This window comes from Homo sapiens, chromosome 2, assembly GCF_000001405.40.
Source record: "Homo sapiens chromosome 2, GRCh38.p14 Primary Assembly".
Lineage (NCBI taxonomy): Eukaryota > Metazoa > Chordata > Mammalia > Primates > Hominidae > Homo > Homo sapiens.
Window position 1 is genome coordinate 63367032 of NC_000002.12, and position 19684 is coordinate 63386715.

The window sequence follows — 19684 nt, forward strand, 5'->3', positions numbered from 1 at the left end:
CAATCCATATATTTATATGAATATATATATTCATTTATATATATGAAATATATGCAATCATCATTTGTAAAAAAAAAATTAAAGCAGGTGGTAACAGGGAGTATATGGGAATTCTCTGTTCTTTCTGTTTAATTTTACTGTGACCTAAGGCTACTCTAAAAATAAAGCTTATAATTACTTAAAGACCAATAAAAAAGTAAGAATCTCATACATTAAAACAATTAAAACAACAAGATGCCAAATTTCATCTGTTTAACTGTCAACACTTAAAAATACTGATTATTTCAACTGTGGGTGTAGTAAGTAAATTTCACAAAAAAATAGTGACAGGAATATATGACAATACATATCAAGATTCCTTAAAATGTATACACACTTCTGACTCAGTAATTCCATTTATAGAAATTTATTTTCAGGAAATAATCAGATAAATGTACAGAGATATGTGTGATGTGTGAATGTTTTATACACACACAAATACAACGTTTATTGCAGCACTGTTTATAGTAGCAAGACACTGGAAATTGTTCATGTCTATATATAGCAGGATAGTTGAATAAATTATGGTAGTCTATCCTTAATAAATGTGTGATATAGATCTATGTTTATTAACATAAATAGAAGGCCATAATATTTATGTCTTGCAAAAAAATCATGTGTTACTCCTGTAATCAGAAAGTTATTTTTGCTTTAGAAAAAACATAAGTGTTCCAAAGAACTATAGTGGCTGGGCAGTCTATGGATCAGGAAAACTTGAATTAATGGGAGGGCTTTAGTTTTAAACAATTTTTATTTATTAAACCTATGAACCAAAAGACAAATACATATCCTTCCACAGCAATAACCACATGTGATCAAAGTGTTCATTAAAGATTTCACAAAAGTGATGTATTTTTTTCAACTAATTCAACACTGCTGAGGCCCACAAACAATGTGATCTTTGAGGAAAGCTAATATTTGTTACCTCAGATTTAGACAGATGACCCTCAGTTTCCAGGTATTGACAAAACTCAAATACCTTTTTCAATAAAATGTAATGAGATAGAGAATAAGGACCAGAATCTACAGCAAGCTGAATACTTTTTTAGTTACACATGCATATCTGTGGGGAAGGAAAAGGAAAGAGGGAGAATTCAAAAGAAATGAGTTGTACTTATCCTTGTCTCCTCTAGGAGACAGATGCTTGAGAGCACTTAACTTACTAGAAGGAGAAAAAGATTACATCACCTGTCAATAGTTTTTTGAGTTCTACTAAGTTTATTTTTAATTTATTTATTTATTTATTTATTTATTTATTTATTTATTTATTTTTGAGACAGTGTCTCGCTCTGTCGCCCAGGCTGGAGTGCAGTGGCACAATATCGGCTCACTGCAGCCTCCACCTCCCAGGTTCAAGTGATTCTCCTGCCTCAACCTCCTGAGTAGCTGGGATTACAGGCTCATGCCACCATGCCTGGCTAATTTTTGTATTTTTAGTAGAGACAGGGTTTTACCATGTTGGCCGGGCTGGTCTTGAATTCCCGACCTCAGGTGATCCACTCACCTTGGCCTCTCAAAGTGCTGGGATTATAGGCGTGAGCCACCACGCCCAGCCAATTTTATTTAATTAAAAAAAAAAAAAGGACTCAAGCAATCCTCTTGCCTCAGCCTCCCAAGTAGCTGGAACTACAGGCATACACCTGGCAAGTTCTGTTAAGTTTAAATATGTAATAAAAGTGTAAAGGATTATTAAGGTTGTGTCTACATTGTATTAAACACAAAGGAAATACAAATATATTTCACATCCAGTGACACATTCTGAACATTTATTGATGTTCATATTTTATGTGTTATGGTCTTTCCTTGAGCTCTGAGCTCTGCAGATGTTATAAATCTGCCAAATAAATTCTTGATTATATTTTCTCTGCATGTTTCTTTTCAGACTTCAATAGAGTAGAATATCTAACAAAATTTTTCCTGGATTTTATAAAGTATTCATGAATGTAAACAGCCAAAAATCATCATATCTCTCTTAATAGCTGCAGTTTGCACATACTATGTATGCCCTTCACTACATAGTAGAAAAAAAAAAATCTTTGATTTTGACCATGTTGGTAAAGGCTGTCCTCATCCCACAGCTTTAATACAACTGTAGCTTTGTAACAGAAGTGTCTATAGCCATCTCCAGTACATACTAATTTCTGCTGGTACTATAATCAAATGTCCTTAAAGGCCAGTTACTTAATACAGTGAATATAGGCACTGTATGTCTTTTAATCCTTGCCAAACTAAAGAGAGCCAAGCTTGCTGACAAGAAGCATGATGAGGTCATCAGCAGGGGACAGTCTGGAGTTTGAGGTCAACAACTGTCTTGATCAGGAGTATGGTGGGTCTGCAGATGCAGTTCACTCTCTTATAAAAGTGGTCCTCTACCCAGGTCCTCACTCACTGAATAAAAGTACCAGAGAAGACAGCGAGGAGTTACAAGCAAAAGAAAATGAGAGTAATAAACAATTCCAAACAGATACCTCAACTAGAATTTGGGCAGAAAACACATTTTGTACATCCCAAATGAAAAAAATAACTAATGTCTAGGGTGAAGAAAAGTCTTAAGATTCATTTGTTCAATGTCACGCCTAATAAGCAGACTATCCCCACTCTTACCTCTATCTGTACAATGAATCCAGTCTATTTCTCTCACAACAGAAAAAAAGAGTTGTTAAGGTTATCACAGCAATGCAAATGGAACAGAGTGGGTATTAGGGTAGCTTCTTACATAATCATGATATTCCCTTTTTAACACTGCAGTTTTTACCCATTTGATTTTTAGACAAAATACCATTCATAATTTAGAATACGAACAACATAAGCAAAATATAAGGACTTCTTTTACTGCTATTGCTATATTTAGGAGGCAATGCTGTTAAAGGAAACCAGACTGCCAGATGAAAAACAGCATGGATGCTTTGGGCGACACCCCTCACTCACACACCCAATTAGCTATGAAAGGGGCTTTAAGGAAGAAAAGCAAGGTATACAAAATTTGTTCATATAATGACCATCGAGTTATTTATACCTATATTATGTCAATTTTGTTTGGTATCTTAATTTACTGATTAGTATAACAACTTTTCTTCAAATTGCCATTATGGTAAAGGAACCCTCATCCCTTGGCAGGAATCTAAAGAGCCCTTATACCCATGGTATTCCTTCCTAAATGGCCCTAACTGTGCCCACATAAAAACCAGCTACTTCATCTATAAAATCACATTTTTCTAGGTTCTTCCAGTTAAAAGACTTGAGGTTTTGCTATTGTTCCCTCCTGCTTATTTCTCCTTTTGCCTTTTCATCCTTTCCCTAACCAAGGGTCTGTTCAGATGTGTGCAGACCACTCTAGGCTTAAACAACCTTTAAATCCAACTACCATACCAAAGAGTACAAGTCTCTTGGAATGTCATCATAATGGATCAAACTTCTTAGAATTTTTTAAAGATGTTAAAATTTCATGTATTCAATGATTACAACTATGTAAAAAATGCATTTGATAAAAAGGACTAAAAAAAAACAACATAGAAAAGAATTGTGCGAATATAGCAATGGAACCTCACTTGCAAAAAACATCTTGGGACTGTAGTTTACTTTATAGGAGAAACATTAATTACCATTTTCTTTCATGTGTATAGGACTATTTAAATCTTCTATTTCTTTTTTAGTCAGTTTTGGTTTTTATTTACCTAAGAAATTTTCAGTTTTCCCCATTTTTCATGTTTGTTGTCATAAATTGTTCATTGTATTCCCTTTGCTTTTTTTTCTGTTTGACTAATCTTGTCAAAGAAGAAATGTTTAGCTTTATTAATCCTATTTTATAATTTTGGTTTTTGTTACATTTATTTTTAAACTTCCTTCCTTCTTTCTTCAGATTTATTTTACTGATATTTTTTGCAAGTTTTAAAAATTTCGTGGCTCATAAATTTTGAGTCTTTCTTCTTTTCCAAGAAAAACATTTTAAATATATATATTTCCCTTCATAGCCCTGTCTCAGAACTCACTTCTGAATTTCTCACTCAAACTCAACATTTCCAAAACCAAACTCCTGGTCTTTTCCCACATACCTGTTCTTTCTGGAGTCTTATCAATCTTGTCAGTAACAATTTTGTTTTTCCAATTGCTCAGGTCAAAACACTTGAAGTCATGCTTGACTTCTCTATTATATTCTTTGTCCAATCTGTTAGAAAATCCTGTTGTCAGAACCTTTAATATGTTCAAAATCCACCACTCTATCTTCATTCCCTTTGCTACCAATCTGTAACTGGCCACCATCGCTTACTCAATTACTGCAATAGCCTCCCAATGGGTCTCCTTCTCCTTGACCTTCTAAGGACAATTCTCAACACAGGATCTGAGTTATCCATTCACTAGGTAGTTTCAAATCATCTATTGAGTTCCCCTATTATTCAAGAGAATACTCTCAATTCCTTACAATAATCTACAAAGTCCTGTATGACCTGGCCACTTGCTGCCTCTCTGACCCATTGTCTCATTCCTCTCCTTCTCATTCACTGCTCCAGCCAAACTGCTGGGATTTAACTAATATTTTGCCTTTTTAGTGAGGCCTTCCCTGACAATCTTTTTTTTTTAATAGTATGATTCTTTATTTTGTAAAACAAGCCTCCACTCCTCCAAAAAAACCTTTTTCATAACAATTTGTATTTTCCAGGGCCAGGGCCAAGGCTAAGGCTAGGATGAGATGAATGAGGGAGAACAAGAGAATTTACCTAAGGATTAAAATTTAAGAAATCTGGCAATCTTATTTAAAACTGCAGTCTACTCACCCATCATCTAATACTTCCTAGCCCTGTCCCTGCATGTTCTCTTTCATGGCATGTATCATTACCTGACATATTATGTATTTTACCCACTTATTTATTGTATTAGGCCATTCTTGCATTGCTATAAAGAAATACCTGACACTGGGAAATTTATAAAGAAAAGAGGTTTAATTGGCTCATGGTTCTGTAGCCTATACAGGTAGCATGGTGCTAGCAATTGCTTGGCTTCTGGTGAGGTCTCAGAAAGCTTTCACTCATGGCGGAAGGCAAAGGGGGAGCCAGCATCTCACATGGCAAGAACTGGAGCAAGAGGAGGGAGAGCCACCAATGTTTAACCAACCAAATATGGTCATTTGGGTCATGAGGGTGGATGCCTTATGGTTTGGTGCTGTCCTTGTAAACTCACTATCACAGGGAGCATCAAGCCATAAATAATCCACCCCCATGATCCAAATACCTCCTACCAAGCCCCACCTCCAACACTGGGGATTACATTTCAACATGAGATTTAGGCAGGGGCAAATATACAAACTTCTGTTTTTTTGGTCTGTTTTGCCCTTTGCCATATTCCTAGCTAAGTGCTTGGCATGTAGTACTCAGTAATTAATTGTGGAGTAAATAAAAATTACTCCTTGACATTTTCATGAATTTTATTACCTAGAATATGGTCAATTTATATAAATGTTTATTCATGGGAAAAAAGTATAGTCTCCACTTGTTGGACTCTACACATGTCCATTAAATCAAGATTTCAATTATACAGTATTGTTCAAATCTCCTATTTCCTGACACTTTGTTTGCTTAATCTATCAATTACTAAATGAAAGGAGTTAAAATTCTTTAACTATTGACAGTGGACTTTTGTGTACACTGAAGCTATGTTACACACATTTAGAATTGTTTTATCTTCCCAGAGAATTGATTTTTCTGTCAATATTGATCTCTAGTAATCTCTACTAATGATTTTGCTTTAAAGACTATTTGTATTACATTACCAATATAGGCTGGGCACGGTAGCTCACTTCTATAATCCCAGCACTTTGGGAGGCCGAGGCGGGTGAATCACCTGAGGTTGGGAGTTTGAGACCAGCCTGACCAACATGGAGAAACCCCATCTCTACTAAAAATACAAAATTAGCCGGGCATGGTGGCGCATTCCTGTAATCCTAGCTACCTCGGAGGATGAGGCAGGAGAATCGCTTGAACCTGGGAGGCGGAGGTTGCGGTGAGCCAAGATAACTCCATTGCACTCCAGCCTGGGCAACAAGAGTGAAACGCCATATCAAAACAAACAAACAAACCAAAAACAAAAAAACCCATTACTACTATATTAGCCCTCTTTGGAGTATTTATCTGGTATAAACTTTTTTATATTCTCTGACATTTAAATTTTCTTTGTTTTCATTTTTTTGTTGTTTTTTTTTTTCTTTTAAATGACATACGGTCTTGCTCTGTCGCCCAGTGCAATTGCAGGAACAAGGCTCACTGCAGACTTGAACACCCAGGCTCAAGCAATCCTCCCATCCCAGCCTTCCAAGTAGCTGGGACTACAGGCGTGTGCCACCATGCGCCCGGCTAATTTTTTAAAAAACGTTTTGTAGAGACGGGGTCTCACTGTGTTGCTTGTGCTGGTCTCAAATTCCTGGGCTGAAGCGATTCTCCTGCCTTGGCCTCCCATAAATGCTGGGATTACAGGTGTGAGCCAAAGCACCCAGCCACCTTCTCTGTTTTAGATGTCTTTAAAAAAAAAAAAAAAACTGAGGAAAAAAATCTGTTTTACATTAACAATGATTATTGAGTTTTTGATTCATTGCTAGTATCTCATTGTGTGTTTTCTATTTTCCATCTTTTTTCCCATGTTTCTTCCCCTGCATGCTCCACTTACCCCTAATTCTTGCCATCTTTGGGGTTAATTTTTTTTCTTTATCCAACATTTTCCCTCTCCTTCCTTGAAAATTATATACTCTATTTCTTTCCTTTTAGTGATTACCCTAGAAATTCTGTATTTCACTTACTAAAATCTAGAATGAATATCTTTATCTTCCTCTTGAAAAGTATAAGGACCTTAGAATGCTTTAACTCTCTTCACTCCTCTTCTGATTTATATGTTGTTATTGTCCAAGATTTTATTTTAATTTTTAACCCCCTGAATTAGACATTAGTGTATATGCTTTATATGATCAATTTTTGTTTAGGTTTCCACAAGTTTATGATTTTTTTTTTTTTTTTGTCTACCATTCCTTTCTGCATCTCATGACTTCCTTCATTCCAGTTCTCTCAGGAAGTATGCTGTCCCATTCAAGGGTTCTAGATTTATATATGGATGTCTGATACAACCTCCCATTCTGCATGAGCTCTCAGTTATGTCTCCTATCCTCTGAGTACACAACCTTTGTAAACCAAGCACCTATCTTACTGTGAGCCAGAGGATGCCCTCCAGGAGAACGTTGAGTTTGCTTACTCTTGTGGAATCAAGCATCCTTATCATTTCAGCCTGTTTCCCTTACTTTACTGCCAGCTCAACCATGCTTTCAATAAATATTTTGAATATATTATCTAGCATTTTTGGATGATCTGACCAGGAGATTTTCTCTAAAAATCATTCTATCTTGTTGCCTTGAATGTTCTTAGGTTAACTTTTTTAGTATTCATGTTCTTTAAAATGATTTCATACAAATGTTGTATTTACTATATATGCTCTATCAGCGAAAAGTATAACTGAAAAAGCCATGTATACATGGAATTGCTTAAGAACTGTTTTAGTCACAAAATGATTTTTGTTTTGCCTATCATATATATTTTACATAAGCTAAAAGCCATTTCCAAAAGACTGCCCTTTTTTTCTGAATTCTAAGTGTAAATATTGACTCCAGTATATTATCCGCAACATCTTACTGTAAAAATTTCCAACATAGAGCAAAGTTAAAAGATTATCTACCACATGTATTCTGACTTTATCGTTTTACAATATTGCTTATCACATATTTACCTATCTCTCTGTTTATCCATCAATTCATATTACTTTTTGTTGTTACATTACAAAGGAAAATGCAGACATCAATACATTACCCCACCAATATTTCATAACCAAAAAATTTTATTTCTAGGCAATAAATCTCAAATTCCCCAAGTTTTGCTTAATATTTTTATAAGCATTTAAAAAGCACAACTCTCTGTGCCACAATCACATAACACTATTTGAGTCAGAAAACAACAGTCTCACAGTTAAGAAGGGGGAAAAGTTAAAAATAAATTATTAACTCTTTATAATACATTATATTTCCATGTTAGTAATAAGCTTCATATGTGGCACATTCATTTGAAATGTTTGCCCTTTCATTTCATCAATATTTAGGGGTTCCTACTATAGTTTCTATTTGTTTATGATGAAAAGCTCTCATTTGCCATCATTTCCCTGTTCAGTACTTGTGGAAGACTATTCAATTTCATGGAGGCAGCTGACTAATTACCTTTTAAACTTAGTTTAGGCAAAGTTGCATTTACCTTCTGTAGGTAAGTGTCTTCCAGTTTAATGATTTTATAAATTAGATTCTATCATCTCTTTAAAATTTTATTATAATAAATACTTTATTAGCTACCATATCAAGACTGTGCTTCTACTGTTTTCCTATCTTTAACGTTAGGAGCTTAATTTACATTTCTAGGGAGCATTTCTTTATGAAAATTGATCACTTTGAATGCATACAAAAAGATGAGAAGTGAATTTTAAAGTTTAGATTTGTTTGGATTTGGAAAAAGGCTTTCAGATAATTTTTTATATTTGTTAAAGACAAAAAAGACCAAAAAGTGTAAAGCAATGTCTATAGAATTCCTCTCCTCTCAAGACAAAAATAAAATTGTATATAAAACATTTATTTTAATAATCTACATGGTATACTTGTCTATTATCACAAATTCATACTATGACCTTACCCTTCATATGCTAGATGAAATTAAAATCAATGTAATATTTTACTCTTTATCAAAATAATCCAATCCAAATTCAGGCAATCTGAGTTCCATGTGAGTAATTTTAGGCACACCCCTAATCTCTGTGGGGCAACTTTTCCTCATCTTTAATTTAAAATTCCCTATGATGGTCTTTACTGTTTAGGGATATTCCATTGTCTAATATGGTTTCTTTTTTCAGAGTATTAAAATATTGACTAGCCAAAGGACAGGGAGTAATGTAATTCTAGCACTTCACAAATACAAAAAGGTATTTGGCCTGTTTCTCTTCCCCTGAGCATGAGAACTTCTTGGTAGCACATTAAACAAAAGAATGGTTCCAACTTAAGCTATCTCATTTAATTTCTTCAAAACTTTTGTTTCTTTTTTCATAATACTGTATAGCCTACTATCAAAAGAAGAACTAATAAAACACTCATTATAATTGAAACAGTAGCAAAGTATGCAAAAGAAGAAACATGAAAAAGCTAGTATGCCCCAAGGGAAAACATCCAGTTCCAGATGTAACCACATAGAAAAGCTGGAGAATAATAATTTTGATAACAATAATAGTGACCTTATCAAAGTATGTCCAAAAAATAATTAGAAAACCATTTGAGAAAAACCAATGAACAAAAAATTCACATTAGTAGAATAGAGCATCCTAGAGCCAGCAGGATGGTTACAAATATGATGCTTATGTGAAAACTAAATCACTGCATAAAATCTCAGAGGCCAGAGACAATGAGGACACAAAGAATAGGCTTCCAAAACTTCTGTTTCATTCACTTTCACCTTTTTGGGCTCTTTAGGCAGGAGGAGAATTCATTAATTTTCCCCAGAAACAGAGAAACAAATATTAGCAATAAGAGCAAAGAACAAAGCTCTAAGTCCAAATAAATGTGACATTAACCCCAGCACTTTTACCATGTGTTCATTCATAGAAGACAGCCTCATTTATATGAAGAGTCCTGGAATATGCTAATGTCATTCAGATGAAAAGGCAAGATTCAATTACATATCATAACCCTTGCAATATTTTAATGTTTCTCAGCTTCTAAAATTGCTGTTTTCCAGAGGCTTCACTGCTTGGTAGACTTCAAAATGCCACTTTATATATAAAAATCTAATGATAGAACATGAATATCTACACAACAACACAAATTCTCAAATCTTGACCAATCTGAAGTTTCCCCCTTCTTTTTGGCAGTTAAAAATAGTTACCAAACAGTCTACTCTTAAGTGAATAAAAATTTCCAGGTATTTTATAAGCTAGGATCTAAAAAATATACAATCAATAATAGATAAATGGTTTTAAGGGAAGAGTAAGGAACAGGGAATCAAAATCAGTTCAAAGATGTGACACCACCAATAACTTGTTATTTGATCTAAGCAAGCCACTTATCTATGCCTCAGTTTACTCACTTGTCAAATGATACTACTACTTTAACAGGAGTTTCTGAGAAAAAAATAAGAGAATATACATCAAAGCCCTTGAAAGAGTGAAAAGCACTATAACAGATTATATTATTAGTAAAATTAAAAGTCTAAAATCAACTCCTTGATGTAATCCTCCTTTTTGGTACACAGTTGAAAATTCTGTTACTTTCCATTGTATAACATGTCATATATAAAAGAATACTATACATATATGTATACATATATGCAAACATACACAGACATACATATGTATATGTATGTGTATATATACACAGTTTAAAAATAATTTTTTATTTTTAATAATTTAATAATTTATTTAATAATTTACTATACCCTGATATTTACCACTCATCTTAAGAAACAGAACATTACTAATACCTTAGAGGCTATTATATGCTTATTTTATCATATTTCTTTTCATTCACTCCAGACTGCTCTAAATTGTGTGCTAATTTTTTTGCTTGCTTTTACTTATAGTACTGCCACATTTATATATGTATCCCTAAATTATCCATGCATTCATCTTCCTTCTTTCCATCCATTAATCCTGCTTTCTGAACTTCATGTATATATATATATATATACATGCTATTGTATTTTTCCTTTAACTTCTGCAATACTTTTCTTAGAGAAATCTCTTGACATTATTTTTCACATATTTTCTAGGTTAACAAAATTTATTATACCCATTTAAAGCAGAGAAAATGGGGTATGGTGAAGCTAGAAACTTGCCACATTATATAAGCAGACAATGGACAAGTTTTTCTACAGTAATTCTTAAAGAAAAACAAACTAATGACTGTCTCAGAGCTTTACAGAACATTCACATCATTAGCTTCAATTAAAAAGAAAATATTTACTTAGTGCGAGTAGCACAATTCAGTTAATATTTCTACATTGACTTTACATAGCTTTCATATTAAAGAGGAAGGTATATTAAAAAGTATTGGTTATATAAAACCCCCAAATAATATTCAAATATTTCCTTAAAATGAAAACAATAACAAATTAAATAAGACCAAAAGAAGATGTATATTTCTTTGAGGAGATGGACTGTTAGGAAACACATAGCCTTACTATGGAATATTTTAATTAAAGAGGATGTCTCCTGAAATAAGTAATTAGTCTGACGCTAATCAATCCAAACATATCATTCACCTGAGCAAGTGATGGAAGAATCTCCTTGCATATTTGCTGATTTGATCTCTATATTCCAATATAGTGGAATCCAGAAGTGGTCTTGTTGGAGCATAGAAGGTTCCAAGGCTTGTCTCAAGCTGTGCTGTGGAATTCAAACATAGCAGCACTAAAACAAGTGAAAACTCCTTCAATTACAACAAAATACTCATGTTTGCAGTCAGTCAGGTTTTGCAGACTTGGATGAAACATGAACTTGTTGCAGGAAAGATAAAATTAAAATATGACAGCTGGTACAAAAACAAACCTGTGTATAAACTTTCACTTGAGGCAAAGCTGACAATGACTCTGAGCAACAAAAAGCTGTCAAAACTGAAGAAATCCATAATGAACCAACCTCTCACCACAAATGGGTAATTAAAACAGTGACTCATCAAAGTAACACAGTTTGAACTAGTACTTCCAGTAAAATCAACTCACAGTGTGCTAAACATTTACTGTCTTTGGCTAAAAGGAGAAAACTGACCTTTCTTCATTGGGAACTGAAATCGATATAGCAGAAATGTTCTTTAAAATAATACAAATAAACAGGCATATTGGAGTAGAAATATATCTCTATTGCAATTTTAAGACAACCGTGAAAGTCCCTATATCTTCCCTAAGTCCTGCCCTAAACAGCAAAAGTCTTGGTTTTATCCAAGTGTGAAAACTAAGACCTCTGGGAGAGGAAACAAGGACTGGAGAGGCAGGTTTTGATAAACTAGAGGGCTAAGACTGGGGGAAAGGGCACATTTTGCCTGTTTCAGAATTTTACCAAGACATGCTCATGGGACTAGGTTTTTTCCCAGAAATACCTGGAAGTTAAGTAATTACCATAATGGTGAGAGTAAGAGTATGTACGAGAACACTACAGTTCACAGTAAGACTTCTCTGATTTTTATGCTACTAGCACTGAGTTGAATAAACAATTCCTTATTTAGCAAAACTCTTTAGTTTTAGGCATATTTGGGTTTGAAAGTATTAAATACCTCATCAGAGTAATTACTATGGACTTGGCTAAGCTGTTAGTAATTTCTTTTTTTAATCTCAAATCTAGACAGTAAAGTAAGATGAACTTTAGGGGTATTTTCTTTCAAAGCAGCAGTCAATTTAGATTACAATTGAATACAGCAATGCTATTGTGAAAACAAGCCAGATTCTCTTGCCATTGCTTGTTTTCTTGACAGCATGTTTCGTACATCTGAAATATTCGAACCTACATGGAATACTCATAACTCCCAGCACAGCTGTAGATTCATTAGATAGCCCAGCTTGATGTTTAAGGCAGAAATGAAGATCTCAAAGATAACTACAATACGGCTACAAATAAAAGAGCTCACTGGGTTCCACTAATAAAAGGAAAACAAATTACCACGTCAAATTTGTTAGATTCAGATAGAATAAGTCTCAAGAGAGAAAAAAAATTGTGAATGTTTTAGAAATATGTTTTGTAGTTACTTGGAGGAAAACGCACACACCTACTTAAAATGTACATATTCTGATAACCCAGCATCATGCAAAAATTTTATTTTAATAGCCTAGTATCATACAAGCTTTTTATTTCCCTATCTCCCCAATATGGTTCCTTGAAAATATACTTTATTAAGGCAAGAATCTGATAATGCCCATTTGTGTATTCCCTAATAATCTTTCCTATAACACAGTAATCTTACAAGACAAATTCACTAAGGTGCTAGCAATTTTTCAGTGTGCTGAGGGTCAATATTTTATCTTTTTCATATTTCTTCTTTAACTGTAAATTTATGATCTCTTATATAAATTGTGTATAACATAAGCATTCTTTAGGGACCCTGCTTTTTAAAATTTTTTCTTTCATTTTTTTTTTAAGTATACACTCAGTCATTACAGTATATCAATACTAAGAAATAATTAGTTAAGATAACTGCAGGCAGCAATATTATAGTAGTACCTTGTACCCTAAAAATTATGGAGTTATACTCTTCTTTTTATTTTTAACTAATACTCATTGAGTACCGAAGTAGTGGGCCATGCACTAGGCATTTTCTCATTGTAAAAATACTGGAATTTCTTGGCCAGGCGCAGTACGGGCTCACGCCTGTAATCCCAGCACTTTGGGAGGCTTAGGCAGGCAGATCACTTGAGGCCAACCTGGGCAACATAGTGAAATCCCTCTACTAAAAATAGAAAAATTAGCTGGGTGTGTGGTGCACATCTGTAATCCCAGCTACTCAGGAGGCTAAGGCAGGAGAATCGCTTGAACCTGGGAGGCAGGCATTGCAGTGAGAAGAGATCATGCCACTGCATGCCAGCCTGAGCAACAGAGTGAGACTGTCTCTAAATAAAAAAAGAAAAATATCGGAATTTCCCGAGATAAATTTTGACTACCTCCAAAAAGAACATTTAATTAACATTAAATAAATATGTATTGTGGGCCACGTGTGACTTGGGCCAAGACCCACGATACAGACTTCCTGGAAAAGCATGTACTTACTAATTATTCTTCTCTAAAATTACTAAAATGAAGGTTACCTACAGAATTCTATCCAAACAACTTGTTTATTTTGGCAATGTAATAAAGTGGGATAAGAAAAATCTATAAAAATGCAAAGAAAGTAGAAAAGAAAAGCTCTTCAAGTAAAGATCTTTTGACATATTTCCTGTTCCTCCTATCTTGTAAATTACCTAGGGACAGTTTCTCATTCACCATGATTTTCCACCATTAATGTCAATGCTTACCACAAAGATATGAAAGATGCAAATGTTAGAATGTTTAGGTGCATTGTACATTAAGTAAATAACTTATAAGAAAAATAATACTATTAGATAATTGGCAAATATAAAGATTTATTTCATTATTGTATGTGTCACAGCATTCCCCACTGCCCCACCCCCTGACCTTAGTTTTTTTACCTTCTCTTTTAAAATTAAACATCTTAGATATATATCAACAAAATTACTTATTGGGCAAAGGTAAGGAAATCCAAGCAGGCAGAAGAGAGAAGAGTGTTACAACTATAAGTCAGAATAAGGAAAACAAGAAGGAGCGGCCTGGGCTACAATTCAGATATACAAAAAAAGGAAGTGTTAAGGACTATTGTCTGGACAGAGGACTTCGGTGTGAGAAAAAAATATTGATATCTAATGTGAGGGAGGAATAAAGACTTTTGTTTGGTGCCCTTTGTCTAGCAGACCCCACGGAGTACATGAAATTTTTGATCAAAGTTTGAAATCTGAGCATGTTCTGTCTGTGAGCTTAGACTGAATTGTACAATGACTGCACTGTAAGCTCCAACATAAGCATATACAGAAAAGCTGTTCTTTATGTTGACAAATACTATACAGTAAGTACTATATGGGAGCAATTATTTGATATCTGATCCTTTCAGTTTTAATAGAGCACTAACATTTTTATCATTTAATCTCCAATACCATGACTCAAAAACAACCTCAAAAAATAACTCAATAAAATCTATTTCATGTATATACAAAACTCATCAATGAAAAATATTTCAAGTCTGACCTTCTCTCTCTGGAGTGAGCTTCTGTCTAAGAAGATGGTTTACAATGGCGCTCATGCTGATAAAGCACTGGTGGCCCAGAGTGTCCCAGTTCATGCTGCTCAGGATGTTTATTGCCTCATAGATCTCATCACAGTGAATGTACTGGAAGATGATGTCTATCAGGCCCAGCTGTCCTCGAGTGAAGACGCCTATCACAAAACATGGAAAACCAGGTGAATCTTTTAAAATAAAATAGAATAACAAAAAGAGTTAATTTTTCCATAAAGAAAAAAACCTATATTGCTTGCATTAAGTGCTAGAAATGTGGGACTGATCTCCTTCTCAACTAATATTTGCTATAAGATACACTGATAACAACAAAAACACATCTGTTGATCCTTTTAAAATGAAAGAAAATTCACTTTTACTCTTAGGACCAAGAGCATAAAACAAAGATTGGGGGGTGGCATTCTGTTCTGGTTTTATTGTCTTTTAAATATGGCTGACCTCATTTGAAATTAATAATTTCTGTGTATTAAATGACAATAAGTACTAGCAAAAAAAACCAAGGTTTTTTGCTTGTTTTATGTAATTTTTTAAATCTTTTCAAAATGGTAGGTTACAAAATCTTTTTTTCTTCAATGTTTACTGATTAAAGTCTAAAAAACTTCCTCTCAGTACAAATAATCATGAAAGAAAATGAGAAAATGTATGTGAAATTACTTTTAAGCCACAAAGTAGTATAAAATATTACTGTAATTCTTTTTATTACTATCATCATCATCATCATTTAACTGGAATAGTTATAGGCTTCAGGATTTTAAAAAATGTATTAGTTCATGAGAAAGATGCTAAAATTCTTCATACTAACTTCAAATCACATCAAAATGAAAACTTGTGCTATTAACAGGACTCAACTTGATAGGGAATCTGGGGAATTGCCCTGACTATACTAAGCAGTAAAACTTTACTATTCCTTTTGTGTTGGTAAAATCAAAGAATGTGACCGTCCAACAGCCTTCATGAGCCTGCAGTCAGGCATTGGAAGTCCTCATAAATCAGGGTGGTTCCTTGGCAGTAGATATTAATTCATAGGAACTTTGCAGGAAACCAAAAATATCTGAAGTCTGTTGACTCCACCTATACCCTATGTAATACTTCTACTAGTAACAAGAGAAAGAACTCATCTATTGAGAAGAAAAGCTAACATATAATCATAATAAAATCATTGAAAGGTGATAAAGAGAAAATCTTAAAAGGCAACCACAGGAAAAAAAATACACTGGATGTACAAAAAAGCAAAGATATGAATGATTACAGATTTTGCATCTAAAATTATGTAATCCAGAAAACAATAACAAGACATTTTAAAAGTACTGAGAGGTAAAAAAATTAATCTAGAATTCTATACCTTTATAAAAATGATCCAAAATTCATGAAGAAAGATAACAATCCTTAAATGCACCTAATAACAGAGCTGTGAAATAATAAAGCAAAAACTGACAGAACTAAAAGGAGAAAAAGCCAGATCTAAAATTATAATTGGTGCCCAGGGGCAGTGGTTCATGCCAGTAATCTGAGCACTATGGAAGGCCAAGGCAGGCAGATCACTTGAGGTCAGGAGTTCGAGACAGGCATGGCAAACATGGCAAAACAGTCTTTACTAAAAATACAAAAATTAGCCAAGCATGATGGCAGGGGCCAATAATCACAGCTACTCGGGAGGCTGCAGCAGGAGAATCGCTTGCATCTGGGAGGTGGAGGTTGCGTTGAACCAAGATCACACCACTGCACTCCAGCCTGGGTGACAGAGTGAGACTCTGTCTCAATCAATCAATCAATCAATAAAATTATAATTGGAGATTTCAGCACTTTTAATAATCAAGAGAATATGTAAGCAAAAAATCAGTAAGTATAGGAAATACTTGAAAAACACTATCAATGAATTTGACCTAATTGACATTTATAAAACACTGCACCCAACCACAGTAAAATACATTCTTTTTAAGTGCACACATAACACAGACCAAGATAGAGCATATTCTGAGTAATATAATGAAGCTACATACATTTAAAAGTTTTAAAATCGTAAGAGCATTTTCTCTGACCACAATAGAATTAAATATCAGTAACAGAAAAATTATCTGGAAAATCCCCAAATATTTAGAAGTTAAGCAACATCCTTCTAAATAACCTATGGGTCAAAGAAAAAAATGTCACAAAGTATATTAGAAAATATTTTTAATTGAATTAAAGTAAGACCCAAAGTAAATGGAAGGAAATAATAAAGACAGTAAATAGTAAATAACAAATATAGAAAAATCAATGAATTCAACAGCTTGTTCTTTGAGAAGATCAGTAAAATTGACAAACTTCTGTCTCAGCTGAGAAAAAAAGAGAGATGATACAATTACCAATATAAGAATGATCACTACAGAACTACTGACATTTAAAATCAGTGAATAATTAGTTTTTATATGAACAAATATAACCTAAATGCAATGGATTCCTTGAAAGACCCAAACTATCAAAGCTCACTCAAGAAGGAATAAACTTGAATGGCTCTATATTATTTAAGTTTGAAGTCATTGTTAAAAAAACCTTTACACATACACACACACACACGTGCACCAATGCACACACATAATTAAACACGACCTGCATGTTAAGATGTCTTCACTGGTGAATTCTCTCAAACATTAACGGAAGAAATAATAAAGCCAGGAACAGTGGCATACACCTATTGTCCCAGCCTCACAGGAGGCTAAGGCGGGAGGACTGCTTGAGCCCAAGAGTTTTAAGTCCAACCTGGGCAAGACAGCAAGACTGTGTCTCTAAAAAAAAATAGTAATACGTAAAAAAAAAAAATTAACAAAAGAAGAAATAATATAAATTCAATACAACTCAAATTATAAGAGAGAATACTTCCCAACTCATTTCATGTGGTTAGAATTACACTGACACCAAAAATGAAGATATTACAAGAAAATAAAAAGAAAACTACAGACCAATATTTCCCATAAACAAACACAAAAACCCTTAACATAATATTAGCAAATCCAGCAATATATTAAAAAGATAATATACCATGAACAAGCAAGATTACTCCCACAAATGCAAGGTTGCTTAAACATCTGAAAGCCAATCAATATAATTTACCTTATGATGAGAAAAAAGAGAAAAAACCTATAATCATTTCAATTGCTGCAGAAAAAGCACTTGGAAAAAAAATTCAACATCCACTTAATATATCTCAGCAGACTAGGAATGGAAAGGGACTTCCTCAATATAATACCATCATACTTATAGTGAAAGATTGAATGTTTTCCACCGAAGATTGGAAACAAAGAAAGGATGTCCTCTCTTACCATTTCTATTTAATATTGTACCAGATGTCCTAGCTGTAAGAAGTGAAGAGAATAAAATAAAAAGCACACAGTTTAGATAAGATGATGTAACACTTCTAAATCCAGTTGTCATGGTCATCTATGTAGAAAATCCTAAGGATTCCAAGTTACTTCAGCTAAGAATGAGCTTAACAGGATTGCAGGATACATAGTCAATATTTTAAAAATTTATTTCTACATAATCCCAATGAACAATAAAAATTGTAATAAAAATATTTACAATATAATCCAAAAACATGCAATACTTAGGGATAAATATAACAAAGCATGTACAAGACCTTTACACTTAAAATTATAAAACTACGCAGAGAGAAACTAATGAACACCTAAATAATTGGAGAAGGGTACTACTTTTATGGATTAGGAGACTCAATATTGTTAAGAATCATTCCTCCCTAAAATGATCTATAGATCCAACACAATCTCAGTCAAAATCCCATCAGGTGAAACAAGCCAGTTTCAAAACTTATATAGACATGGAAAGGATCTAGAATAGTCAAAATAATAGGAAAAAGAAGAATAAAGTTGAAGGACTAACAGTACCTGATTTCAAGACTTACTGTAAAGCCACTTACTGTAAAGCCACAGGAATCAAGTCAGAATGGTACTTGCTTAAGGTACAGACATTTAATTCACTAAAAGACAATACAGTTATTGATAGATCAAAGTAATTCAATGGGAGAAAGAATACTCTTTCTGACAATTGGTGCTGGAACAATAAATATTTATATTAAAAATTAATCTCAACCCATACCTCATACCATATGCAAAAAATTAACTTGAAGTAGACCATCAACCTAAATGTAAGAGCTAAACCCACAAAACTTCTATAAGAAAATCCTTGTGACCCTGCGTCAAAGAGTTTTCTTAGGACGTGAAAAGCAAAAGCCATAAAACAAAGAACATTATGAACTGAATTTCATTAAAATTAAAAACTTCTGCTACTTTATAAACAATGGTAAAATAATGAAAGGGTAAACTACAGGCTGAAAGAAAATATTCACAATACAAGTATCTTACAAAGGCCTTGTATTCATAAAATATACATAAAAAATCTCTTACAACTCAAGAATAAGTAAAGAAAAAATCCAATTAAATTTGGGCAAAAGATTTGAAGACATACTTCATCAGACAAGATATACAACAAATAAGCACATGAAAAGATGCTTGATTCCAACAGTCACCAGAGAAATGCAAATTAGTACCACAACACACTTACTAGAATGGCTAAAATTAAAATGACCATTAATTTCAAGTGTTAGAACTTGGAGCAACTAGAGTTCCCATAAATTGCTGATATGCTAAATGACACAATCATTTTAGAAAACAGTTTCTTCTAAAGTTGAACAAACACTTAGCATATGGCCCAGCCATTTTAAACTTGTAGGTTTTTGACAAGAGAAATGAAAATATATGTTCATAC

At 33.6% G+C, this 19684-nt stretch overlaps 1 protein-coding gene across 24 annotated transcripts in view; it reads right to left on the reverse strand.

The window, feature by feature from the left end:
* Window positions 1-19684, reverse strand: part of WDPCP (WD repeat containing planar cell polarity effector) — a 721268-nt gene that overhangs the window by 247473 nt on the left and 454111 nt on the right. For 22 of the 24 annotated variants that reach the window (NR_148705.2, NR_148704.2, NR_122106.2 and 19 more), the window contains 2 exons: window positions 14875-15063; window positions 11355-11478 (listed from right to left, as the gene is read on the reverse strand). Coding sequence is in view for 19 of the 24 variants with exons in the window: in XM_047444629.1 (XP_047300585.1) it covers window positions 11355-11478; window positions 14875-15063 (313 nt within the window). In the remaining 5 variants the exon portion in view is untranslated. Of the gene's footprint in view, window positions 1-390; window positions 2428-11354; window positions 11479-14874; window positions 15064-19684 lie in introns of those variants that run through there. The other 2 variants (XM_011532890.4, XM_047444634.1) reach the window with 2 other exon arrangements.